At 53.0% G+C, this 25,019-nt stretch overlaps 1 protein-coding gene and 1 pseudogene across 9 annotated transcripts in view, besides 7 other annotated features; both read right to left on the bottom strand.

Annotated features, from left to right (window-relative positions):
• The window catches only part of SEMA4B (semaphorin 4B), a 44,742-nt gene that overhangs the window by 7,459 nt on the left and 12,264 nt on the right, over positions 1 to 25,019 (bottom strand). For 3 of the 9 annotated variants that reach the window (NM_001393916.1, NM_020210.5, NM_001324031.4), the window contains exons 2-8: positions 20,468 to 20,745; positions 4,601 to 4,764; positions 4,374 to 4,436; positions 2,312 to 2,410; positions 1,110 to 1,221; positions 723 to 836; positions 438 to 589 (exon numbers count right to left, since the gene is read on the bottom strand). In NM_001393916.1, coding sequence (NP_001380845.1) covers positions 438 to 589; positions 723 to 836; positions 1,110 to 1,221; positions 2,312 to 2,410; positions 4,374 to 4,436; positions 4,601 to 4,764; positions 20,468 to 20,624 — 861 coding nt within the window. In that variant the 5' untranslated portion in view covers positions 20,625 to 20,745. Of the gene's footprint in view, positions 1 to 437; positions 590 to 722; positions 837 to 1,109; positions 1,222 to 2,311; positions 2,411 to 4,373; positions 4,437 to 4,600; positions 4,765 to 7,238; positions 7,267 to 20,467; positions 20,874 to 25,019 lie in introns of those variants that run through there. The other 6 variants (NM_001324034.3, NM_001324032.3, NM_198925.4 and 3 more) reach the window with 3 other exon arrangements.
• Positions 2 to 840: an enhancer, noted in NCBI's record as "H3K4me1 hESC enhancer chr15:90764595-90765433 (GRCh37/hg19 assembly coordinates)". NCBI's record gives its function as "activates a minimal SCP1, AML or CMV promoter by ChIP-STARR-seq in primed H9 embryonic stem cells {active_cell/tissue: H9 hESC(primed)}" and the evidence as "EXISTENCE:reporter gene assay evidence [ECO:0000049][PMID:30033119]".
• Positions 7,272 to 7,566: a silencer, noted in NCBI's record as "tiled region #13535; K562 Repressive DNase matched - State 14:Gen5'". NCBI's record gives its function as "represses a minimal TATA promoter and a strong SV40 promoter by Sharpr-MPRA in K562 cells {active_cell/tissue: K562}" and the evidence as "EXISTENCE:reporter gene assay evidence [ECO:0000049][PMID:27701403]".
• Positions 9,511 to 9,685: a silencer, noted in NCBI's record as "fragment chr15:90755750-90755924 (GRCh37/hg19 assembly coordinates)". NCBI's record gives its function as "represses an EF-1alpha promoter that drives an FKBP-Casp9 reporter gene in an ReSE screen in phorbol 12-myristate 13-acetate-treated (for megakaryocytic differentiation) K562 erythroleukemia cells {active_cell/tissue: K562(+PMA)}" and the evidence as "EXISTENCE:reporter gene assay evidence [ECO:0000049][PMID:32094911]".
• Positions 9,749 to 10,948: an enhancer, noted in NCBI's record as "P300/CBP strongly-dependent group 1 enhancer chr15:90754487-90755686 (GRCh37/hg19 assembly coordinates)". NCBI's record gives its function as "activates an origin of replication core promoter dependent on BRD2, BRD4, P300/CBP, MED14 and CDK7 cofactors, with strong dependence on P300/CBP, by STARR-seq in HCT116 cells {active_cell/tissue: HCT116}" and the evidence as "EXISTENCE:reporter gene assay evidence [ECO:0000049][PMID:35650434]".
• Positions 12,484 to 12,533: an enhancer, noted in NCBI's record as "active region_10068". NCBI's record gives its function as "activates an Ori minimal core promoter by ATAC-STARR-seq in GM12878 lymphoblastoid cells {active_cell/tissue: GM12878}" and the evidence as "EXISTENCE:reporter gene assay evidence [ECO:0000049][PMID:35858748]".
• RPS12P26 (ribosomal protein S12 pseudogene 26) lies at positions 15,215 to 15,721 on the bottom strand (annotated as a pseudogene).
• Positions 20,354 to 21,325: an enhancer, noted in NCBI's record as "H3K27ac-H3K4me1 hESC enhancer chr15:90744110-90745081 (GRCh37/hg19 assembly coordinates)". NCBI's record gives its function as "activates a minimal SCP1, AML or CMV promoter by ChIP-STARR-seq in naive and primed H9 embryonic stem cells {active_cell/tissue: H9 hESC(naive and primed)}" and the evidence as "EXISTENCE:reporter gene assay evidence [ECO:0000049][PMID:30033119]".
• Positions 20,422 to 21,181: a silencer, noted in NCBI's record as "silent region_6816". NCBI's record gives its function as "represses an Ori minimal core promoter by ATAC-STARR-seq in GM12878 lymphoblastoid cells {active_cell/tissue: GM12878}" and the evidence as "EXISTENCE:reporter gene assay evidence [ECO:0000049][PMID:35858748]".

Below are 25,019 nucleotides of genomic sequence, written 5' to 3'. Positions count from 1 at the left end.
TTTGGGAAGCCGAGGTGGGTGGATTGTTTGAGCCCAGGAGTTTGAGACCAGCCCAGGCAACGTGGTAAAACCCCATCTCTACAAAAAATACAAAAATTAGCTGGGCATGGGGGCGCACACCTGTAGTCTCAGCTACTCGGGAGGCTGAGGTAGGAGAACTGCTTGAGCCCAGGAGGTCGAGGCTGCAGTGAACCGTGATCGTGCCACTGCACTCCAGCCTGGGTGACAGAGCAAAGATCCTGTCTAAAAATAAAAAGAAAAAAAAAAAAGAAAAAAGTAGTAAGATATTTTAATTTAAAAGGTGAGAGAGAAAAGCTGTTAGCCAAGCTGTACTCCTTGGCGGGATGGGAAAGGCCATGCATGGATGTGGGTGATCTTGCAGCTGTGGAGGCTTTGAGGTCCCTGGGGTGGCCACCCTGTCAGCCCGTTCCCCTCACCTTGCAGATGCGGGCAATGCGGGACACAATGGTGTTCTCAAAGAACTCAAATTCCTGGCCAGTCTCGCTGAAGAAAAAGTAGATCTTGTCATCATCGCCTTGCAAGCTGCCCAGGCTCTCAGGAATGTAGGCTGAGGCCACAAAAGCTGGGTCTGTAGGGACCAGGTCAGGAGCTCAGAGTCAGCCCAGGAACCCTGGAGACAGGCCAAGCTGGGGGAAAGTGCCCCCTTCTAGGGCTGGGTGAACAGGATCCCTGCCCTCTGGGTGGTGGCAAGAGGACTTCACCTTGCAGCCAGTTGAGGGAGCTCTCGGTCTTGGTGGGGCGAAGGCTTTGGCTCCGCGAGATGGCCGGGTCATTCCCTTGGAAGCTGCTGACTGTTCCAGTGTAGAGCTCGCCATCTGCCAAGAAAACATTCCCATGGGAATGGGCTCCTCAGCACGGCCCCTTCTCCCTGCTCAGGGCCCAGAGTGACCCCAGCACTGCCCGTTTTGCCTGTGGTGGGCAGAGAAGGAAGCTGGAACTTGGAAAAACCAAACCCAAGGCAAGCCCCTGGCCATTCTGTCCCCTTGGAAATAAGCATGGCATGGACTCAGCCTGTCCAAAGCTAGCCCTCTAGCCCTGTGTGCCCCTACATGGAACCTCAATGAAGCCATCCTGCCCTCAACACTCACCAACCACCAGGGCAGTGGACTTGAAATTCGGGTCGAAGGGACAACGGCCCTTGCCATCTTCCAGGAGGACATTCCCCTTCTCGTCCCTTGCCAGGGTGAAGTTCTCCATGTTCTGCAGGAGGGTGGACACATGGGCTCAGGGGCACTCCAGGGAATGAGGAGCAGGCTTGGTGAGAAAGAGAGAGGCGTGCAGGAGAAGGCAACTCTGCAGGCAGGTGAGGTGTGTGGGACAGAAGGGGTCAGGTGTCAGGGACGCCGTCCTCCTCAGCCAGGACACGGTGCCGAAGGGTTTGAACCTGGACAGTCGGCCTCAGGAGAGGCCTCACCCAGACACAGTGCCACACTGCCTCACAGTGACCCGACGCGGGACACATTATCAGACCCACCTGGCGGAGGAGGTGAGGCTTAGAAAATGATGTGAGCCTGGCCGGGCGCGGTGGCTCACACCTGTAATCCCAGCACTCTGGGAGGCCGAGGCGGGTGGATCACGAGGTCAGGAGATCAAGACCATCCTGGCTAACACGGTGAAACCCCCCTCTCTACCGAAAAATAGAAAAAATTAGCCAGGCGTGGTGGCGGGCACCTGTAGTCCCAGCTACTCGGGAGGCTGAGGCAGGAGAATGGCGTGAACCCAGGAGGCAGAGCTTGCAGTGAGCCGAGATCGTGCCACTGCACTCCAGCCTGGGCGACAGAGCGAGACTCCATCTCAAAAAAAAAAAAAAAAAAGAAAAGAAAAAGAAAAAAGAAATAAAATGATGTGAGCCTGGAAGGGGCAGCAATGTGATTCAAACCCAGGTGTGTCTGACCCCAAAGCTGGGCTCCAACCCACAGCATCAAATGCCACCCTCTGCTAGGGGTGTGTGCTGAGGAGGGGGTGTACAAGATAAGACAAGAGAATCAAGCAAAGGAGAGGGAGAGATGCTGGAAGAAGCAGAAGAGGGCAGCAAGGCCTGGGTGGCACAGGATCTTCATGGGTAAGTGACCGCATGTGCCCCCGCCTCCCCGCACAGGGAGACATGGCTGTCAGGGCTGCGCTTTGTGCCAGGGTGTGGGACCTCAGGGCTCTTGGAGGCCAGTGGTACCTAGAAACCTCCCTCTGGGCCCTGCCTTTCCTCAGGGGTCTATGCTACAGAACAGGATCCCTGGGGCAGAAAGAGGGGCAGTTCCCAGGTCAGCCTCAGGGCTGAGGACAGGTCACTCACGATGTAGGTACACATGGGGCTGAAGGCTGCTGTGCCACAGGTGAACAGGTGACTGCCGCTGAGCGGCAGGAGGATCTTGATGTAGTTTTGACAGTCGCGCTGGGGGGAAGGAGCGAGGGGATATCAGTCCCACGCCCAAGCATGCCACCAGGGGGCACCGCCGAGCCCCCCCTTCCACACCCAGGCCCGGCCTCTGCTCCCAGGACTGGGGATGGGGCACTCAAGTCTAGGAACAAAGAACCCACGGGTTTTCTGGGGCACAGTGGAGCGTGCACAGAGTGTGTGTGCTGCAGGGAGCCCAGGGGCTCAGCTAGTTTTGTGACTGGCAAACTTTCCTTCGGCCTAGGGGTGAGGGCACAGAATCCTACCCCTTTGAGTTGTACTATTCCCCAGCAGCATCCTCTTCAGAAGCCACAGGCCCCTCCCAACCAAGCTGGGAGCTGATGAAGCCACAGCCCAGAGCAGGAGGACTGCTCAGCCCTGAACCCTGAACCCCAGATTCATGCATCACCTTCAAATGGGGTATCTAACTGGCACCTGCAACCAAGCTTCTTTCTGGTCCTCCCTAAAACACATGCTTCCCCCCGAGATCTTGCCACTTTCATTAATTCTGTCTTTTCAGTCGCTGAGGCCCCAAACCCAGTCAGCCTTGACTCTTCTTGTCGGTCATACCCCATAATTTCCCACCCAGAAATCCTGGTGGCTCCATCTTCAAAATGCATCCGGAATCTGAGCATTTCTCACTGGTCCGAGCCACCATCATCACTCGCCCCTCACTGCTCTCCCTCCTCCTGTCCTTCCCCATGGAGGCTTCTCTACCACAGTAGCCAGAGTGACCCTCTTAGTACACAGGTGAGACCATGTCACATCTCTGCTCAGCCTTCCCCTGGCCTCCCAAATACCTCCCTCAGAGTGAAATCAAAAGTCCTGCCCCTCCTCCAGATATGCCACTGTCAGCTCCTCACTCTCTCCTGATCTTGGCTCAAATGTCACTTTTTTAATGAAATGTTACCTGACCACCTCATTCCATCCCACGCCCCGCCAATAACATTTGTAAACTGACTACTTTTTCTTTTGAAACACAGTCTCATTCTGTCATCCAGGCTGGAGTGCAGTGGCGAGATCTCGGCTCACTGCAACCTCTGCCTCCCAGGTTCAAGCGATTCTCCTGCTTCAGCCTCCCAGGTAGCTGGGGCTACAGGCGCCTGCCACCATGCCTGGCTAATGTTTTTTGTATTTTTAGTAGAGACGGAGTTTCACTATGTTGGCCTGGCTGGTCTCGAACTCCTGAGACACTCAGGAGACCATGAGGTGGAGACCTTGTGATCCACCTGCCTCAGCCTCCCGAAGTGCTGGGATTACAGGCGTGAGCCACTGTGCCAAGCCTGCTTTTTCACAATTAAATCTCCAGTACCTAAAAGTACATGGACACAGAGTGCATGCTTCATCAATGTTAGCTGAATAACAGAATGGCAGCCAGGACTTGAACCTGTGTCTTGATCCCAAGTCCAGCACTCGTTTGCCCTCACCTTACCCAGCACCTGCTGCACTTAGGAGCAGGAGCAGGAGGCCTCTAGGGATGATGATGAGTCCTCCAGGAGAACCTGGGTTGAACCAGATTTCATCCTGTGCTTTGGCCAAAACCACACCAGAATCTGTCAGATGTGCTACATCAGGAACCATCTGCAGAGGGACACAACTCTCACCCCACCCAATCTCTGTTCACGCTGGAAGCTGACTTGTTAGGTCTTGTATCTATGAGCCAGGTGCCTTACACCTATTAGCTTCCTGAATCCTCACTGTAAGCCCAGTGAGACCGGATCATTATCCCCATTTTACAGGTGGGCCCACTAAGGCTTAGACAGGTGAATCTACTTGTCGAAGGTCGTAGCGATGTAAGTGTAGTGCTGGGATTCAAACCCAGGCCGGGTAATCTCAGAAGCTTATGCCCTTCCCACCATACCTGGCTGTATCTGCTCCCACCTCCCGCCTCTGGCCTGGATGGAAGTCCACCACCCTCCATCCCTCCTGCAGCTCAGCTCCCTTCCAGGTGTGGGCTCACCTGTGGGTCCTTGCCCTTGAAGCTGCACTGCTGTTTCTTCTCTGCGTCTGCACCCCAAAGCAGCTGGGGAATGAGAAAGGGGAAGGTAGTGGACAAAATGGAGGGTTTGCTGAGCCTCCCTCCTCTCCCATAGGCATCATCCTTGGACCCAGAAGGTCAAGCTTCCCGTCCATCTTCCCTCTGTGGTCCTCTGCCCAGCCTAGCCAGCTCCAGGCAACATCTCTCACCTCCTGGTACTCCCCGCCTGGCAGGAAGCTGAGGTTGCTACTGAGTGCAAAGAGGGCCTCTCGAGCACCCACGTACAGGGTCCTGCCATCCCTGCTCAGCAGAAGGGCTGTGTAGTTGGAGATGTGTTCAGCTTCGAATCTGAGGAATGGCCGCTCTTCAGAGCCTGGGGAGAGGAAGATGGGTATTACCTGGGGCCACCCCTCCCATGGGAAGCCTCTTAACACCAACCTTTAGATGGACTGGTTTAAAGGAAGGTAATCAGCAAGGCAAAGGGTGGCAATGGCAAGGGGCTGGGGGCAGGGGGATCAGGTTTGATGGGCGAGCAGCATTCCTGGACTCTCAAACATTACATAAGAAATGATGCAGAGATGTATGTACAAGGATACTTACTACGGCACCCTTCACATTAATAAAAAACTGAAAACCAAAGAGTCCGTCCAACCAGAGGGGACCTTGTCAAAATAAATTATGATGCCTCAATCCAACTGAATACTATACAGCTGGGAAAAAAAATGATGTATTAGAAGCTCCAGAAAAACAGGCAAGAAAGGCATGGTCAAAATATCAAGCAAACTAAAATATAAAGTGATGAGTTTTGAGCACATAATAGAATATTAAGAAAGGAAAATACATTTAACACTTTCCTTTGAGTGACATTAGACCCAAAGAGAAGGAAATGTTAAGTGGGCCCTGCAGTGAATGCTATTTGCATTGACAGAGTAATGCAAATGTTGAGCATGGGCTTTTCTTTTTTTTTTGAGACGAAGTCTCGCTCTGTTGCCCAGGCTGGAGTGCAGTGGCATGATCTTGGCTCACTGCAACCTCCACCTCCTAGGTTCAAGTGATTCTCCTGCCTCGGCCTCCCAAGTAGCTGGTATTACAGGCATGCACCATCACACCCAGCTAATTTTTGTATTTTTAGTAGAGACGGGGTTTCACCATGTTGGCCAGGCTGGTCTCAAACTCCTGAACTCAAGTGATCTGCCCGCGTCAGCCTCCCAAAAAAGCACTGGTCTTTGAGACTGATGGTTATTACACAGAATGGGAGTGTTTTCAATTTTGACCTCAGAAACCAGAACTGATGACAGACAGACATCATAATATGGTAGCAGGGTTGTCACAAGCTGCTGCCAATGGCTAATGGAATAATAAATACAGGTCAAGTGTACTGTTTTATATTGCAAAGGTAACCAATAAAGGAAGTGAATACAGTACGGTGACAGAATATGTTGGGGGGAGGAATGGAAGGGAGATGTAAGTGAGGGAAAGTTAGGAATTCAAATAAGCCAAGAAATAGTGGTGTAAGTATTTTACTTAAAAATATGGAGGAAATGGGCTGGGCGTGGTGGCTCACACCTATAATCCCAGCACTTTGGTGTGGATCACCTGAGTTCGAGACCAGCCTGACCAACATGGAGAGATCCCGTCTCTACTAAAAATATAAAATTAGCCAGGCGTAGTAGCACATGCCTGTAATCCCAGCTACTCGGGAGGCTGAGGCAGGAGAATCGCTTGAACCTGGGATGCAGAGGTTGCGGTGAGCTGAGATCACACCATTGCACTCCAGCCTGGGCAACAAGAGTGAAACTCCATCTCAAAAAGAAAAAAAAAAAATGGAGGAAATAATGGTAGAACAAGAACCCTAAGAACCCTAAATGATTAAAAGTCCCTTTTAAATTGGCCTGGGGTGAGGGAGGACAGACGTTTTTGCTTTTTATAATAAGCCCTTCTATACTTAAAAATATATATATACGTGCATGTATCCTTGATACAAATTTTATTTATTTTTTGAGACTGAGTCTCACTCTGTTGCCCAGGCAGGAGTGCACTGGCATGATCTCGGCTCACCGCAACCTCCGCCTTCCAGGTTCGAGCAATTCTTCTGCCTCAGCCTCCCGAGTAGCTGGGATTACAGGCATGTGCCACCATGCCCGGCTAACTTTTGTATTTTTAGTAGAGACAGGGTTTTGCCATGTTGGCCAGGCTGGTCTCGAACTCCTGGCTTCAAGCAATCCGCCTGCCTCAGCCTCCCGAAGTGCTGGGATTACAGGTGTGGGCCACTGCGCCCAGACCTTGGTACACATTTTAAGTAGCTTTTGTTTTTGCAGAATAACAACAAGGAAAGACACGAATTATCTACCATGAAGTGAAAATTCAGGTTATATTTAGTATGTATGGTCAAATTCTATTTTTTGTGGGAAAAATATAAGCATAGGAAAAAAATCCAGAAGGATGTATCACAAAACACTAAAACATGGGCTCCCTGGTAGAATTACAGGTAGCTTTCTTTTCTTTTTTACTTGTTATCATTTTTAGATTCTCTAATAAGCAGGTTATCCTTATATAATGTGAAATATATAAATCAAAGAAAAAAAAAAAGAAACACACACACACTTACCCACCAGGGTACTGTTTATGCTTTGGGTAACTAAAGGGTTTGGAGAGAAATTATTTTTAAAATTCTAAGCAGCTGATGAGAACACAAAAACAAGCAAAGAGCAGCACCCTGACCACCCTCAGGCACGTTGTAGCGGACCAGTGGGTTATGACCACACAAACAGTCTCACGAAGCTGAGGAAGCAAAAAGTGCAACACGCCCAATCAAGCAGCTGTGAAGATGACTTCATGTGTGTTTACCTGTGGAGTGTTTTTACATACCCCCAGCCTGGTTCCATAAAGGGTGGGGAGACATGAAGAAAAGAAAGTAGTGAAATATAAACATTAAAATCAGGAGCAGAGAAAACCCAAATCTGAAGAAAAACATCTCCATCAGCAAGGAAGTAAAAATTCACGAGTAGGTCAATGAGTCTTCGCACAGCTGGTAGAGAAGGGCTGAGCCTTTAGTGCTGGGCCTCCTGGTGGCCAAAGAAAAATGGGAAATGAAGCTACTCCATCCTCAATGTCCATAAGGAGGAACACATATCAGCCATTTGGGGGAAGCTCAGCCTTTTTTTTTTTTTTTTTTTTTGAGATGGTGTTTTGCTGTTGTTGCCCAGGCTGGAGTGCAATAGCACAATCTTGGCTCACCGCAACCTCCGCCTCCCAGGTTCAAGCGATTCTCCTGCCTCAGCCTCCTGAGTAGCTGGGATTACAGGCATATGTCACCACGCCCGGCAAAGTATTTTTAGTAGAGACGGGGTTTCTCCATGTTGGTCAGGCTGGTCTTGAACTCCTGACCTCATGTGATCCACCCGCCTCGGCCTCCCAAAGTGCTGGGATTACAGGCGTGAGCCACCACGCCCAGCAGCTCAGCCCTTTTTTTTTTTTTTTTTTGAGACGGAGTTTCTCTCTTGTTGTCCAGGCTGGAGTGCAATGGTGCAACCTACACCTCTCAGGTTCAAGCGATTCTCCTGCCTCAGCCTCCCAAGAAGCTGGGATTACAGGTGCCTGCCACCATGCCCAGCTAATTTTTGTATTTTCAGTAAAGTCAGGGTTTCATCATGTTGGCCAGGCTGGTCTCTCGTACTCCTGACTTCAGGTGATCCGCCTGCCTCAGCCTCCCAAAGTGCTGGGATTATAGGCCTGAGCCACCGCGCCCAGCCGAAGCTCAGCTTTACACCTGGCAGCAAATGGGGAAGGAAGCCCTCGGGTGGGGGTGACACTAGTTAACAGGATGACGGGGGTCAGGTGGCTGAGCCACCGAGCCCGGCCCTCAAGTAGGCCCTTCTGTCAGGCAGCAGAGACATCGTCTCAATGAGCTGCAGTTTCTCATACATGTCACGGGAGGAATGAGACATATAAAGATCACAGGAGTCTCAAGAGGAGTGAGACCAAGACAGACACTGCGGTCCCTTCTTATCTTTTGGATTTTTCCATAGTTCTCTGGAAGCAAGGGCTGGTTCAGATAAGCTGGTTGCCCGTGCTTATCTACCTGCAAAAGAGCGTTTCCACCTGGGCAGGCCCTGTAAGTCTGGGCAGCAGACCGCCCTTGGAATCTGTCCAGACAAAGAAATGCCAAGAGTCAGAGATAAGCCTCAGTCCCAGGTGGCAACTCAATCCCACTTACGCCTGGGAGAAGGGGTGGAAACCTGCCTCGGGCACTACAGAGTGCAGCCGGCTGGAGGGGAAACCTATAGACCAGCCAGTCCCTGGTTCAGCCCAGGCCTCCAAACGAGCCAGCCACAAGCCCTCCAGCCATGCTGGGAGTAGAGTGAATGAAACGACAAAGGGACAGAAAGGGGAATGTGCCTTGGAGAGGGGGGTGAAGGGCCCCTTAACCAGGCTTTCCCCTTCTGGGGCTTCCCTTCCACACTTGCCTCATCTCTCTGCCCTGAGAGTCAGACTGAAAGCCATGGTGTGCAGAGTAGAGTTAGAGACCTGGGTTCAAAGCCATCCTCTACCACTTACTGGCTGTGTGCCACCAGGACACGCCACTTAACCTCTCAAAGCCCCGTTTTCCTTATCTGTAAAATGGGGAAAATAATAACACTTTGCCTCATGGGGTTGTTATTAGAAAAAATGAGATTACGTATGTAAATAATAATATACATAATAACCCACATTTACTGAGACAGCTTTGCTAAAACAACGTTGCACATGGTTTGCAGTGTGGCATGGTGTCTGGCACGCGACCAACACTCAATGAGTGACTCAAAAACAAAATCCAAAAGCCCCGCAGGAAAATCCGGCCCGGTGAGAGCTGGCAGAAGGGCAGGGCTCCTTGCGGGAGTCGGGCCTCCCTCATCCAGGGGGTTCACGAACTTAGCCTGGGCGATTCTAACTTAGGCACGCACCTGGTCACACGAGGGTCTCATGGCCAAAGCCAGACGGCATCAGCTCAGAAACAGAGACTTGCGTGTCACAGGCTCGTGTTGTGGGCGCGAGCTGGTCTGTGCTCGGTGTGAGTGGTGTTACTGTCTAAGGGCCCAGGTGCTTGGGTCACCTCCAGAGTGACTGCAGACGTCTGTGAAGGACCCTGCCTGAGCTTGCCTGTGGTGTGTGTGTGTGTGTGTGTGTGTACACGGTACCGCAGGGCTTGTCCACGCTTGCGCACTCACTCCTAGGTGCTCTTTGTGCAGGGGTGGAGGTGTTTCTGCACTTTACTTCCTGCGAGGGGCTGGCGCACCTTGGGGTCAGTCTTAAGCTTTTATGCTCTCCCTTGTGTCAAAGAGTGTCTCGCTCGCTCTCCTGGGCTGCCTGTGCTGCTCGGACATCCTCTAAATCCATCTATCCAGTGGGTTAGTCCAGTATGAAGAAAGCAGGGCACGCCGAGGCTGCGGCCGGTTTTCCCATTCAGGGTGAACCCTCTCCCTCCACCCCGACAGGCTTCAGCCAGGGGCTTCACCAAGGCCAGTGCATCCCACTAGGCAGATCATCCTTCAAAAAGGCAGACCGGGGCTGGTCTGGGGCTGCCCTGTCCCTCCCTGGAGGGAGACGGCACATGGAATGGGCACATAAGAGTCACCTGCAGGGTCCCCACTCCCCACCCCAGGAAGTGGGGTTCTGAGTAGGAAGTGGGGTTCTGAGTAGGAAGTGATGTGGGAATACTCAGCCCTCAGCCCCATGTAAGGGTCCTCCTTCCCTGTGACTCAGCCGGAAGCCTGGAGCTCTCTGGGGTGAGACAGGAATAGGGCTCAGCACCATCCCCACCCTGGTTAGTCCCCACCCCAGGCCAGCCAGCTAGCTGCAGCAGCGCTGTGACTCAGAACCCCACCCCACCTTTCTCTCTACTGTGGCTCCGGGCACGGCAGCAAGACGCTGACCTGGCCCTAACATCCCACCCTCTACAGGCCCCAGCAGGATCAGGCCAGAAAACACCAGCTTCCCTGTGGAGTCGGTGGGGAAGGGGCCTCCAATGCAAGGAGGCAGCCAGTGGCCTCCCCCACTCTCAGAGAGGGGTCTGGGCGGGACAAGTCCCCAGAGAGCCTCCTGAAAGGCTGTTGTAGCCCTTCGTCCCCAGGGATGTCACGATAAGTCACCAGAACCTTGGACCCACTTACCCCAGCAGCAGCCCCACCTCCAGGGCAGGAGTGCTGACGGGGCCACAGTCAGCAGGAAACTGGGACACACTGCCAACCTGGGTGCACTTCCTTCCTCCACACGGCCCGTGTTGGGCAGGGCAGCCACTTCTTCCTCATGGAGCATGGAGGAGGGGGCCACATTCTGCTGACACCAGCCCAGTGCCAGAGTCGAGTCCCTGACCAGGGACTCTGGGCAGAGGTTGGGGGTATTGTGTGCCAAGGGTCCTCCCATGGACTGAGGTCACCAAGAAAGTGGCAACGAGGGCAAGGGAACCTGGCCTCACAGCATCTGTGCTCCTGGGGCATGCCCCGGAAAGCCATTGCTACAGCCCCAAGTGGGCAGACGAAGAGCCTCTGCCAGAACCCCCAGGCAGTCCCAGTCCCGACCTAGGGCCTGTGCCATGGGTGCACAGACCACTGCCGTCACCTTAGGAGCCTGCCTGCCGCCTGCCTGCTCACAGGTCTACACAGGGACACGCTCAGTCCCTCTGCTCAGGGGCTGGCTCCCCTCTAACAACCCGGCTTCTAGGGCCTCTGCCCTGGGTCTGCCTTCCTGCTTTTATAGATGTCTCCACTTCTTCCAAGGAAATCGGGGTCATCAGGCATAAACAACCTCAACTTCCCACCCCATCTCCTCAGAGACCAAATCCTATGTCACCAACTCTACCTGTCAGAAAGCAGTTTTTGTTCCAATGTCCATTCTAGAAACTTTTGTGCCTCCCTCCACCTGCCTTAGACAAGCTCCCAAAGAGAACAGCCACCCCATGCCATCTCTGCCTCTCACCTTCCACTCACTCCTCCACAGAAGTTGGGCCTCAGCCAGCCCCACGTTCAGCAGTGCCAGCCCTGCCAAGAGCCCAGGGATCGCCTCGCTGACAGACCCCAGACACGGGCCACGCCACCCCGTCCTCTAGGTACCTGTGCCCCCAGTCTCAAGCATCACTCCGTGTCTCCCTCACATGCCTTCTGGGCCTCTAGCCCTCAAAGAGCTAAAGTATGTGAGCACTTTCTCAGCCCTTTAAACGGATTAAGTCATGTCATCCTCACAAGGCTGCTGTGTTTTATTACCTCTGTTTCAGGTGCAAGTCATCCCCGGGAGGAGTGGTGGGGATGCCGCCCGACCCTGGGCCACCTGGCTGCAGCATCTGTGTTGATGACCACCCTCCTGCCTCAGGCTTTGCTCCTGAATGTTCTTGCTCTCTAGGTCTGTCTGCTCCTGGCCCTGCTCTTCTTAACTCCGTTCAAGCCCCTGGGTCACACGTCCATGCTCATCACTTCAATGACGCGGATGCTGGCGATCCCCAAATCTCCTCATCCAAGTGCAGATCTTCCTCCAACACACCAGACCCCACAGTGCAGAAGGGCCTCTGTGGGTGCCTCCCACCACCTCACCGCCCCCTTCCAGTCCCACTCCCTGGCTTGGCATTTTGTGTTTGTGTGTGGCACCACTCACCTGGGTGTCTCACCATCCTCCTTCCTCAGAAGTCCAGTCTATAATCAAATCCTGCCAATTTTCTCTCAATATTTTCCAAATCCATTCCCCTCACCATCCCCACTACCGCAGTCCTGAGCCTGGCACCATCCTCTCTCACCTAGGCCACCATCACAGCAGCCTCCCAACCAGCCTCCCATCTCCAGGCCAGCTGCTATGCTGCAGCCAGAGGGCTCTCTGGGAGCCGTCACTGTTCTGCCTAAAAACTTCAATAGCACCCCGTCGTCCAAGCTCCTAACTTGCTAGTGCTTGCCACCCACCCACCTCTTGGTTCGACCAAGTGACATGGAACTGCAACTCAAGGGCCCAATTCTCTCATCTCCGGTCTGTTCAGGAAGTCCCCTCCACCCAGAAGGCTTTCCTTTTGACTAACTCACACTCATCCTTTGAGACTTGGCTCAGTTCCACCTCCTCCAGGAGGCCTTCCTGGATCCCCGGCTGGGCAAGGGCCCTTCTCCGTATGCCCATCATTTCCTGTTCACACGTCTTGTAGTGCACTGGTGACACTGTCGGATGATGGCAATGTTTGATGTTTGATGATGATGAGGAGGGTCTTTCTGCGCTCTTCTCTCTTTTTTTTTTAAGACAGTCTTGCTCTGTCGCCCAGGCTAGAGTGCAATGGCATGATCTTGGCTCACTGCAACCTTGAACCTTGGGTTCAAGCGATTCTTCCGCCTCAGCCTCAGCCTCCTGAGTAGCCGGAATTACAGGCACCCGCCATCATGCCCGGCTAATTTTTGTATATATATATATATTTTTTTAGTAGAGATGGGGTTTCACCATGTTGGCCAGGCTGGTCTTGAACTCCTGACCTCAGCTGATCCGCCTGCCTCGGCCTCCCAAAGTGTTGGGATTACAGGTGTGAGCCACCGCGCCCGGTCTTTGTGCTCTTCTTTTCCACCAAGCTGACAGCATCTTCAAGATCAAGACCATGTCTTATTCATATTTGTATCAACTGGTCAGGTGAGCTCCCAGCAGTTGTTCCATAAATGTTTGTTGACTAAACAAATGAATGACACAGTCCCAGTGAGAGTGCTCCAGCCCAGAGAGGGGCCCCAGATAAAAATGGGGCAACGTGGAGGTCCTGAAGCATCACACTCACAAAAGTGTGTCTGAGAAGCACTGCTACCACTCTGACCCCTCCCAAAAGCACTGAACACATAGAAGTATAACAGCTGACAGGAGCTCGAGACCAGCCTGGGCAACATGATGAAACCCTGTCTCTACCAAGAATGCAAAAATTAGCTGGGCATGGTGGCATATGCCTGAGGTCCCAGCTACTCAGGAGGCTGAGGTGGGAAGATCGCTTAAGCCTGGGAGGTGGAGGTTGCAGTGAGCCAAGATCTCACCACTGCAGCCTGGGTGACAGAGTGAGACCCCATCTCAAAAAAAAAAAAGAAAAAGAAAAAAAGAATTAAGTATGACAGGTGGAAGTATGACAGCTGAAAGTATGGTAGGGAGACAAGAAACAAGCTTCACGGACTGGAAGGGGCACAAGACATGTGTGTGAATCCTCACTTGATCACTGACCCACTGTGCAACCCCGAACAAATTCTCAGTCCTGAGAGGGCTGCCTTGCAGGATTGCTGAGAAGACTAAATAAACACAGTACGTGGCAGTGCAAAGCTCTGCAAAGATTAGGGGTCAGTGACCATCAATAATCAAGATGGGTTCTCCCCATGCTCCCTACTCCTCCCCTTGCTTCTTGCCTTCTACTTTTACTCTAGCCCTTTTTCACACGCAAGACTTAGGCCCCAGACACGTGCTGCTACACGGAATGGGGGTCCAACCTTACCAGACCTTCAGAAAAGCTGGAAACCTAGATTTTTATGTAAAATTTCCTAAGTTTTAAATATCAGCAACTAATTAAAATTTTTCTTTCTTTTTTTTTTTTTGAGATGGAGTTTTGCTCTTGTCTTCCAGGCTGGAGTGCAATGGCATGATCTCGGCTCACTGCAACCCCTGTCTCCCAGGTTCAAGTGATTCTCCTCCCTTAGCCTCCTGAGTAGCTGGGATTACAGGTGCCTGCCACCATGCCCAGTTAATTTTTCTATTTTTAGTAGAGATGGGGTTTCACCACGTTGGCCAGGCTGGTCTCGAAACTCCTGACCTCAAGTGGTCCACCCGCCTCGGCCTCCCAAAGTGCTGGGATTATAGGCGTGAGCCACCGCACCTGGCCTAATTAAAATTTTTCTAAAGAACTTGGAAGTCAAACAAAATGTATCTCCAGGCTGGCTGTGGCCCACTACCCTTCAGTTTGCAAACTTCTGTCTGAGATGTGTGCCTCAGTCTCCTGTGTGCCACATGTCTGCCAGCTCTGCCCTCTTCCCAACTATGGCCATGCAACCAGGGGCCTCGGCTGGATCCCCTGCCCCGTCCAGAGACTGACCTCAACAGATTTCTTTAACAGATGGAAAAATATAACCTGCAATTATTCAAGGGCTGAGCCGGGTCATCTTGCTGCTTTTGTACGATTCACAGGTGAAGCAGGAGGCAGCTGTTCTAATGGAAAGAATGTGGTTGCTGAATCGAGAACTGTGGCCCAAGGCTTGGTCCCAAACTCTTCTATAGCTGCATGACCTTGATAATGAGTTAGCTTCACTGAGCTTTGGTTTCCTCATCTGCATGAGATAAAGCAATGCACTTCCACATCCAACAGCAGTGCCTGGCACACAGGGAGTGCACCGCAATGGCCGCTTTTATTTGCTCTTCCAGTTGGCCCCCTTCCTAGAGGATGGGCCAAAAGATGCCAAAAAAGAGGACACGAGTTGGCTAATTTGGCTCCTCTTTAGGAGTATGGTAAAATGATGGCTTCTGTCTCCTACCTACCATCCCCACTGAAACCCCCTCGCCACAGGCCCCCCACCTCTCGGAAGCCTGTTAAGACTACAGGATGGGCTTCCAGATGGATCCAGGAGTGCAGAATAGAGCTTCCATGCACAACAAGTCAGATCACAGGCCTGGGAGGCAGAACTCTAGCAGCTGGACAGAACACTCCACCTCTGTGTATCACTCTGTAGCCACTCTACTCTTCTGTGACCATCTCTGCCACAGGGCAGGAGCCACCCCTTAGTGTTCCAGTATTCAGTGCCCAGAAGAGGGTCGATGGTGAGCTAATAAGTATAGAGCCGCTGTGGGCACCAGGCTTTTTTTGTTTTTTTTGTGAGCCAAAGATATTTTCTTCATTTCTTGCATTAGAAGTTCTCTCTGATGACATGCTTGGCCTGAGACTCCTTGCCATAGTCCTTAACTACTATACAACTGCAACCAACCACTTTACGGGGTTTCCCCTCTCTGTCAATTTGACAGAGACCTACCCATTCCCCCAGTTTCTTTTGTCATCAACCTTAATTAGGTTGATTTGGTGCTCAGCACAAAGGGCTTCCACCAACTTGACATACACAGTCTCATCACCGTTGGATGCAAGCACACAAAGATGGGCTTGGCGCTTGTCTAAGGCTTTGGTAGCTTTGCGAATTCCATGTGCTAGGCCATCGTGGATGAGGGCTGTCTTCAACAGCTCTTGTAAAGCAGCATTAATGTCCATTACCCCTCCAGCAGCAATGCCTTCCTCGGCCATGGCAGTGGGTTACGGGTGAAGCCGAATCTTGAACGCAACTGAGCCTGAGCCTCCGTCTCTGCATGACTTGGTGGCAGCAGGGAAAGAGCCACCAGGCTTTTAATTATCTTATCTTACAGACAGGATAGCTGTCCCACATCCAGCACAGGGAGGTCAGAATGTGAAGAGGAGGGGCAGGGAAACCAGCTGGGGAAAAGCATGGAGAATGCAGTCCAAGGGAGCAGACTTCCCAAAAAGCTAATCTGAGGGAAGGCAGGCCTCGACCACAGGAGTCTCGCGTTGTGTTGTTCCTGTTGCCCCGATCCCCAGGGAGGGCCACATCAGAGGCCCCCTGAGTCCTGCGCCAGCCTGAGCACCCATGGGGGTGGAGTGAGAGGCAACAGGCTCTAAGAAGATAAAGGAAGGAGTGATTGATGACATGACCCGAGTCTAGCCTTTTCTCCAGGCCCCGTGCCACCCTCTGTCTCTTGCCTAGAGGATGAACATGCTGGTATATCCAGATATGCCCCAAAAGTTGTGCAAGTTTAGCGCTCTCCTGGGTTGGCACAGAGGTATTTCAACACCAGCTGGATGTGGGTTGTGCTGAAGGCAGAGCAGAACCAGTGAAGGGCAGGCAGGGAGAGGCATGGTCCAGCCCCATGCAGAGGAGGTTCTTCAGGCAAAGGAGGACTTTGAAAAGGCTGAATCAGGAGCACTTAATAACTGGGCTATAATTAAGCAGGACCCCTGGTAATGACCTCCAATCAGCTCCTGGGGGCCTTGCTTTGTCTTTTCTACCAGGGCAGGCACTAAGCCTGACAAGGCTTGGCACCTAGCAGAGGGCCTGCATACCACCAGTGTGCACAAAAATGGATGCAAATAACCTCACCAAGCAAGGCTGGCAGGGGGTTTCTAGCACACCAGAGCAGAAGCTACCTTTTTACTACGGATGCAGCATGTGCCAGGCACCATGCCAAACACTTTACATACATTATTTCATGTAATCCTCTCAGAACACTGTGAAGATGGCCATTATTCCTCTCTTGCTAATGTGAAAATGGGCCTGGAGAAGGCCAGGAGCTTGCCCAAGGTTGTGCAGTTAGTAAGGGTGGCAAGCTACTTTACAAAGCCAGGCTCTGAGCATCCGCAGTTAGAGCGCCTTCCACTCACCTCTGCAGAGCCAAAGAGATGCTGGCCCATAGGACAGAGCTGGGGACAAAGGCTCATGTCCAGTTGAGACCATGTCAAGGAGGGAAGCCAGTAACCGGGCTGAGGGCTCAACAAGCGACCAGCATCAGGGCTTCCCAGGGCAGCCTTGACCCTGGCTGCCTCCTCCAGGGCCAGAGGGCAAGCAGCTGATTTGTGCCAAATGCTCCATTCTCTCTGCTCAATGGCGTTTTGTTGACTGCAGTTTGCAGGCCTGCAGATTTCTGTCCAATCTGCTTCAGAAATACTGCGTCCAGAGCTTTCCCGCCCGGCACTTCTGGGGCAGGAGGGAATTAATAACTCCCTTTAAGGCCGGATGTGGTGGCTCATGCCTGTAATCCCAGCACTTTGGGAGGCCAAGATGGGCAGATCACCTAAGGTCAGAAGTTCGAGACCAGCCTGGACAACATGGTGAAATCCCATCTCTACAAAAATACAAAAATTAGCTAAGCATGGTGGCGGGCACCTGTAGTCTCAGCTGCTCGAGAGGCTGAGGCAGGAGAATCACTTGAACTTGGGAGGTGGAGGCTGCAGTGAGCGGAGATGGCATCACTGTACTCCAGCCTGGGAGACAGAGCGAAACTCCATCTCAAAATAACAATAATAATAACTCCCATTAAGTGTCCAAATAAGGTGGCCCAAAAAGACTTTGGAGGGCCATGAGAGGAGGCGTGTTTTGTTTCTCCCCACGTGGCCAGGCTGGGAAGCACTGGGCGCCATTGTTTCTACTCAGCACCACTCCTGCTCCTGACCGAGGCTTTGGTCCTGGAGCTCTGCATGGTAGTTCCAACGCAAGAGAACCCAAATTCCACACACTTCTTTGAAGTGTTCCTTTCAGAGATTTCCAGCTGACTGTGGAGCCCCCAGTGGCTGTCCCCTCATCCTCCTCTCCCTACTGGCCACTGGGCGAGGCCACAAATCGGCTCCCTGCATCTTAAGCACCCCAGGAATGTGCTGTTCATCAACAATAATTAGGGTTCCCTATGAAGGACCCCAGATGCAGGGCAAGCTGGACGCTCCACTTCAAGGGATTTTGTTTTAAACCACAGACATAGCCCCACTGTCCCTAGGCATCTGGGTCCTTACGGGGCATGGGTGGGAATTCAGTAGAGGAGTGAGTGGCAGGAGGAAAGAGGGGTGTGTAATATCCAGTTCCATGACTCTTTCTCCTAAGATGCATGCAAGGGAGGGCACTAGGGCCCTGGGCCCGGCGTCCCATGGTCACCACGAGCCTGCCCAGGATGGGCACACTGCCAGGAACATCTAATGAGCCCCCTGGGATGAGGCAGGAAACCGCCTTAGGCCACACTCAAGGGTGAGCCTGTTCAGTTACCAGGGCATTCCCCTCTCGGACTCCCAGCCAGCCCTAGGACCTGCACGTAGGTAAGAGTAGGAGGTGGGTATGAGGGCCAGGAGGAAGCCCAGAGAGGGGGCACTCCAGGGTATAGTGGCAACTCAGTCGACTATAGATACGTGCTCACAAGTTCAGGTAGCTAGGTGCCACTACACTATTCCAGGGCTTTGGTGGGACTGGAAAAATGGGCCACTCCGGGCAGACCTAGCCCCAAGAACATAGCAGAAGGGGTCTTTTGCTCCAGGACTCTTAGGTTGGAGAGCTGAGTGTGGACTGCATTTCAGGTCCTCTCAACCCTCAGCTGGGCACCTTGGTACAATGCACAAAATGCAAGCCCACCTACGGCAGCCCTGACAGGTGAATGCTGGTGCGTGACAGAAGCCTGGGAACAGTCACGGGCTTGTAGAAGTGGACCAGGTCCTGCAGCTGCATTGGTAATAATAACCAAGTATTCTAGCTGCTCCTCGGGAAGCAGGTCCCCTCGATTCCCCTCGCTGCTCTCCAGTTTTGCCTTCTAGCTACCCTGTGATTGTCCCATCCAGTTCCAGAGTTGGACATGAAACCTACCGTCTTTTGACATGGTCCCATGAGCTGGCCCAGCTTTCCCAAGGCCATAAGTGGAGTCCATTGGAGCATCTGCCCCCATCTCACCCTGCCTTCTCCCAAAAATGAGAGGGTCTGAGGGCAAAGGGAGTTGTGGCCACAACAGAAGTAGCAAGACAGCAGGCCTGGGGCTGGTTACACCTGTTCATCCTGACTTCACAAGCTGAAGCACCCAAGGGGCTACAGTCAAACTAACACCCCAACCCTGTCCTAACCCCAGGCAGAATCACCCCAGATCTGGGCAAGATGTACAGAAGTAAACTCTGAGCTGAGTAACACTCATTCAGCGGTTCCCGTACCAGGCCCTGTCCTAACGACTTTTCAAACACGAGCTGATTTAATCCTCACTACCTTGAGGTAGGTTCTGTTATTATACCTGTTTTACAGATGAAGAAATCAAGACCCAGAAACTTTAAGTAGCCTGCTCAAGGTCACATGGTTACTAAGTGGCTGAGGTAGCATTTGAACCCAGGTCATCTGCAGTATTTCAGACAGGGGTTCAGGTAGGGTTACTTGAAGCCGCTAGGGCCCTGCCTTAATTTAAGTGCTGATTCTACTATTTCCCTTTGTAAACAGGATGCTTTTAGAGGTGGGGATGCTGTGAGGAGATGGAAGTCTGGGACAGTTTCAGTCTGTAACCTCTAATTCATACATGCTTTATTCCAAGTCATACAATATGACAACCAACAAGTTAAAGGGCTTGCGGATACATCTGTTGGGCACTTATAAACTTCATACCCGAGTAACACACCTTGCAAGGCACCTACGACTGCCTATTTTGCAGATGAGAAAGGTGGGGCACTGGGAGCAGAAGGCACTTACTTGCCCAGTGGAAGAAATGGGCTTGGGATCCAGGACCCTCTGAATCTAAAGCCCAAGTGCCCCAAGAAGAGCTGGAGAAGCAACCGGATGGAAGGGAAAAGGAGAGGGAAGGGCGGAGGGCTGAAACAGGAGGTGGCCACAGAAGCAGATGTGAGGACCAGGAAAGGAACCCAGCCAACCAGGATGCTACTCCCAGGTCACTCTGAGGAGGGGTCGCGCCCAGGACTTGGGAATGTCAGCGCCCAGAGCTGCCCCCATCCGCAGTCTGTTCGCTCCCAGGACTTGGGAATGTCAGCGCCCAGAGCTGCCCCCATCCGCAGTCTGGTCGCTCCCAGGGCCTGGAGGTCTCTCCATGCTGGGGCTTGGGGCTGCACTGGCAAGCCAGGGATGGAGGGGCGGAGAGGGAGGATCGGGCGCCTGCCCGCCCACCACAGCTCCCGGCCCTGCTGCGACTTGCTGGGAATACCAGAACCCCAGTGTTTATAGGACTGCAAGCAGTGGCCTCCCTCTACCCCGAGCCGCCCTCGGGGGCGGCACCGCGGTCGGCTCTGGTCAGCATCAAAGACAAGTAGATGGGCAGGCGGACCCCGCCGAAAGTGCATCCTCCTAAGGGAACTAGGGGGGACGACAGAGCGGGCTAGACCCCATCCCTACGCAGAAAGAAAACTGAAGAAAGGGGCCAGCGGCCCCACAGCTCCCCTCTCCTCTCCCTCCCTCCGCGCAGCGCCTTGAAAAAAGAAGGGGTCCTAATGGATCCCGTGCCTCCGACAGGTCCCCTCCTTGGTCCTTTGTCACGGCCACCTCCGCACGAGGCACGTCCCCGGCAGCCTTCCTTCCCCCGGCCCGCGTCCCCGGGTCCCCGGCACTCACCCAGAGGCAGGCTGATCCGGGGGCTGAGCGCCCAGGTCGGAGGCGGCGGCTGCAGCAGGAGCAGCAGCAGCAGGAGCAGCAGCAGCGGTGGCCGAGGCGGCAGCGCGCCCCATGGGGCGGCGAGCCAGCTCCTCAGGCCCATCGCGGTGCGCAGCATTCGGAGAGCAGGAGCGACGGTGTCCCGCGGCTCGGGCTCAGGTGGCTCGGCCGGACTCACGGGCGGCAGCTCCGCCCCGCGGTCCGCCCCCGAGTCGCCCCGGGGGCCCCCGCCTCCGGACCTGGGGGGCGGGAGGTGGGAAACAGGGTCAAGTGGGCCCTGGCAAACTCAGCCCCTCCGCGGGGCACCGCAGTCCTCCCGCCGGCGCCGGCCCCGCAGCCTCGGCTTGGGCAGAGCTCACCCGCAAGCGGCGGAGGGCGGGGCTGAAGGAGGAAGTCGGCCGTGAGCCCGGCCGGCCCGCCCCCTTCCCCCTTCCTCCTTCCCGGGCGCTGGCAGCGCGAGGGGCGGCAGCTCGGGGCGCTGCCGCAGGGGCCAAGCCCGGGATCAGTAGCCCCGGCGGCCGCCGGAGCGCTGGGACGCGGACGAAAGCCGACCCCCAGCTCCCCGCCCCCACTGCTCAGACCCTCCCACCGCCGCCCAGGCCCTGGCCCCTTCCGGCTCCTCTGGGACCCTCTGCTAGTGGCGTTGGTTTGGGGACACGCTGCGTCCCCGCTATGCGCCTAGGGAGTTAGGGGGCGGATGGTGATTAGGCCTTGGTCTCCTCCCTTTAGGCGCCCCCTCCGCTCTTGCTCCTGGCGACCCCCTTGTTCCTGCGACCAAATGAACTCGGCCGAGCTCGTGCTGACACTGGGGCTAGCAGCTTGAGAGTCCAATTTTTGCACAGGTCAATCCACTGCAAGTCATGGCTGGGCATTCACTACAAGCTCAGCACTTAGTCTAGGCACCCTGCGGGCTTGTCCGCTTAATATTCTGTCCACGCGAAGCCCTCGGGTGGGGGAAGGGCAAGATTAGCTTAAGTGGGATAATAGGATTTAATGTACTGCTGAGGAGGTAAAACCTTCACAACCTGCACGTGACCCGGCAGGGGAAGGGAACCCCTAAGACTGGAGTGGAAGCCCAGAGGCACCCACCCCTAATCCTCCTGGCTCCTAACATCTCCACGGGTGGAGTTCAGCTCTGCTGAGACCAGGGGTTTCCAACTGCAGCCTGGACCATTAGCAGATTCTGAAATCAATTTAGTGGATCCCAACAGCATTAAGAAACAAACAAAACATAGAAACTATCTAAGCAATAATCTCAAAGGATAAGTAATTTTGGGAAAGCTACTTCAACTTTTCCTAAGTGTGCACAGGATTACAGAAAAATGTAGTAGTTCCTCCTGTAGTTAAGAGTCCAAAAGAGTGAAAGCCTCTGCTAGTTATTTCCATGGCAGTAGAGACCATCGCTCCATAAATTTGCTGCAATTGCAGGAAAGCTCCTCTTCACCCCCAGCCAAAATCAGCCTCCTCAGAGCACCTCTTTTCCTCTCCTCCCGACTTTCAGGGTCTGCCACATCTGCTCCCACAACAGGGATGCTGTCAAGAGGGTGGGCACAGCACCCACATGGTCCCAGGTCTCCTTTCTTACAGCTAAGTTTCCTCATGCTGCATGATTTCTGTACCTCCATCACCTTCTGTGGACATGGTGCAGGCTAGCAGCATCCCTTTTAAAGGGGCTCCCAGAACTGGACACAGAATTCCACATGGGATATGGACAGCACCAAGCACCCACAGTGCTACTATTGCCCAGGTTTGGATGCTTACTCTAAATGGGTTCAATCCACCTACAGCCAGTGATACCCAAACCCCTATCTGCCGCCTAGTCCAGCCCTGCTCAGCCCTTAACTCCAAAAGGCCTCAACTTTTTTTTTTTTGAGACAGAGTCTTGCTCTTTTGCCCAGGCTGGAGTGCAATGGTGCAATCTCCACTCACTGCAACCTCTGCCTTCTGGGTTCAAGTGATTCTCCTGCCTCAGCCTCCCGAGTAGCTGAGATTACAGGTTTATGCCACCACACCCCGCTAATTTTTTGTATTTTTAATAGAGACAGGGTTTCACAATGTTGGCCAGGCTGGTCTTGAACTCCTGACCTCGTGATCCACCTGCCTTGGCCTCCCAAAGTGCTGGGATTTCAGGCGTGAGCCACCACACCTGACCCGGCCTCAATATTTCTACTTGGCTGTCTGAAAACCATCTCGAGCCCAACATGTCCCAAACTAAGCTCCTGATCTCTCCCCCTTCTCAAAAATGTGCTCCACCTACAGCCTTCCCCATTTCATTTAATGGCAATTCCATCTTTAAATTGCTCAGGCCAAAACCCTCAGCTCCTCTCATTATCTCACTCCTCACATCCAGTCCATTAGAAAATCTATAATCTGACCACTTCCCAGCTCCCTAGGGCCCAGGCACCACCCTCTTTCTCCTGGTTACTGCAAGGGCCTCCTAACTGTTCTCCCCGTTTCCTCCTTGGTTCCCCTACAATCTATTCTCAACACAGCAGCTGGAGTGAGTCTTTAAAACACAAGCCAGGACAGGGGTGGTGGCTCACGCCTGTAATCCCAGCACTTTGGTGGGCCGAGGCGGGCAGATCACTTGAGGTCAGGAGTTCAAGACCAGCCTGGCCAACATGGTGAATCCCCATCTCTACTAAGAACACAAAAATTAGCTGGGCATGGTGGTGTGTGCCTGTAATCCCAGCTACTCGGGAGGCTGAGGCAGGAGAATTGCTTGAACCGGGGCCTGGGAGGCGGAGGTTGCAGTGAGCTGAGATTGTGCTACTGCACTCCAGCCTGGGCTACAGAGCAAGACTCCATCTTAAACAAAACAACACACAACACAAGCCAGATCAGGGCTTTCCTCTGCTCAAAACCCTCCAAGGGTTCCCCCATCTCATTCACAATGACCTTACTTGGAGTGGTCTGCAAAGCCCTCCATGTCATCCTCACCACCAGTACCACTGCATCCTCTACTACTTTTCCCCTCACTCATCCACACCAGGTACATATATAGTAGCCCGAACCAGCAGGGCCTTTGACCTGGCTGCTCCCTCACCTGGCACACTCTCCCCCTAGATAACCACAGGACTGAGTCCCTTGCTTCCTTTTGCTCATTTATCACCTTGAAGAATCTGAACTTCCTCCTAATATGCCCCTTATCTCCTTAAAAATACCTTGAGATATTTTTTCAGAGCACTCATCACTGAATAACATACGATATATTAGTTATGGTTTTTCTTTATTGTCTGACATCCCATCTCCCCCAGAATGCTGACTGAGAGGGCAGAGATTTTTGCTTATTTGGTTTGTTAAGTAATGTATCTCAAGCCTCTAGAATAGTGCTTGGCACATGGTAAGCAGGACTTCAGTAAGTACTGGATGAATGAATGAATGAATGCAACTTGAGTCACAGAATACTGCTGACTCATGTCAGCTGACAACCAGAACTATTTTTTTTATATCAACTTTGGTCCAATAAAGAGTTTTACCAGCCAGGCGCGGTGGCTCACGCCTGTAATCCCAGCACTTTAGGAGGCCGAGGCAGGCGGATCACGAGGTCAGGAGATCGAGACCATGGTGAAACCCCGTCTCTAATAAAAATACAAAAAAAAATTAGCCGGGCACAGTGGTGGGTGCCTGTAGTCCCAGCTACTCAGGAGGCTGAGGCAGGAGAATGGCGCGAACCCGGGAGGTGGAGCTTGCAGTGAGCCGAGATCACGCCACTGCACTCCAGCCTGGGCCACAGAGCGAGACTCCATCTCAAAAAAAAAAAAAATTAATTAATTAATTAATAATAAAATAAATAAATCTAGTGGTTCTGGCTCAGATGTCATCCCACTGAAGTCATGTTGAAAACTGATTCTATTATCATACATTTGGCTTCCCCTTCCAGTATGGGGTCATCTGTAAACATGATAACCATTCCTTATGCCTTTATTCAAGCTATTGATAAAAATATTGGGTGAGCAGGGCCGGGCATGGTGGCTCACGCCTGTAATCCCAGCACTTTGGGAGGCCGAGGTGCGCGGATCATGAGGTCAGGAGCTCGAGACCATCCTGGCTAACACAGTAAAACCCCATCTCTACTAAAAATACAAAAAATTAGCCGGGCGTGGTGGCGGGCGCCTGTAGTCCCAGCTACTCGGGAGGCTGAGGCAGGAGAATGGCGTGAACCCGGGAGGCGGAGCTTGCAGTGAGCCGAGATCGCGCCACTGCACTCCAGCCTGGGGGACAGAGCGAGACTCCGTCCCAAAAAAACAAAAATTGGGTGAGCAGATCTAGCACCTAAATCTTCGTTTACTTTTTTCTTTTTTATTGAGAGAGGGTCTCACTCTGTCACCCAGGCTGGAGTACAGTGGCAAGATCTCAGCTCACTACAACCTCCACCTCTCAGGCTCAAGCAATCCTTCCACCTGAGCCTCCTGAGTAGCTGGGACTACAGGCATGCACCACCACACTCGGATAATTTTTGTAATTTTTTTGTAGAGAAAGGGGTTTCACCACGTTGCCCAGGCTGGTCTCA

Source organism: Homo sapiens, chromosome 15 (assembly GCF_000001405.40).
Source record: "Homo sapiens chromosome 15, GRCh38.p14 Primary Assembly".
NCBI classification, from domain to species: domain Eukaryota; kingdom Metazoa; phylum Chordata; class Mammalia; order Primates; family Hominidae; genus Homo; species Homo sapiens.
Note: the sequence above shows the minus strand (reverse complement) of the source record. Positions and strands in the feature narration are given on the sequence as shown.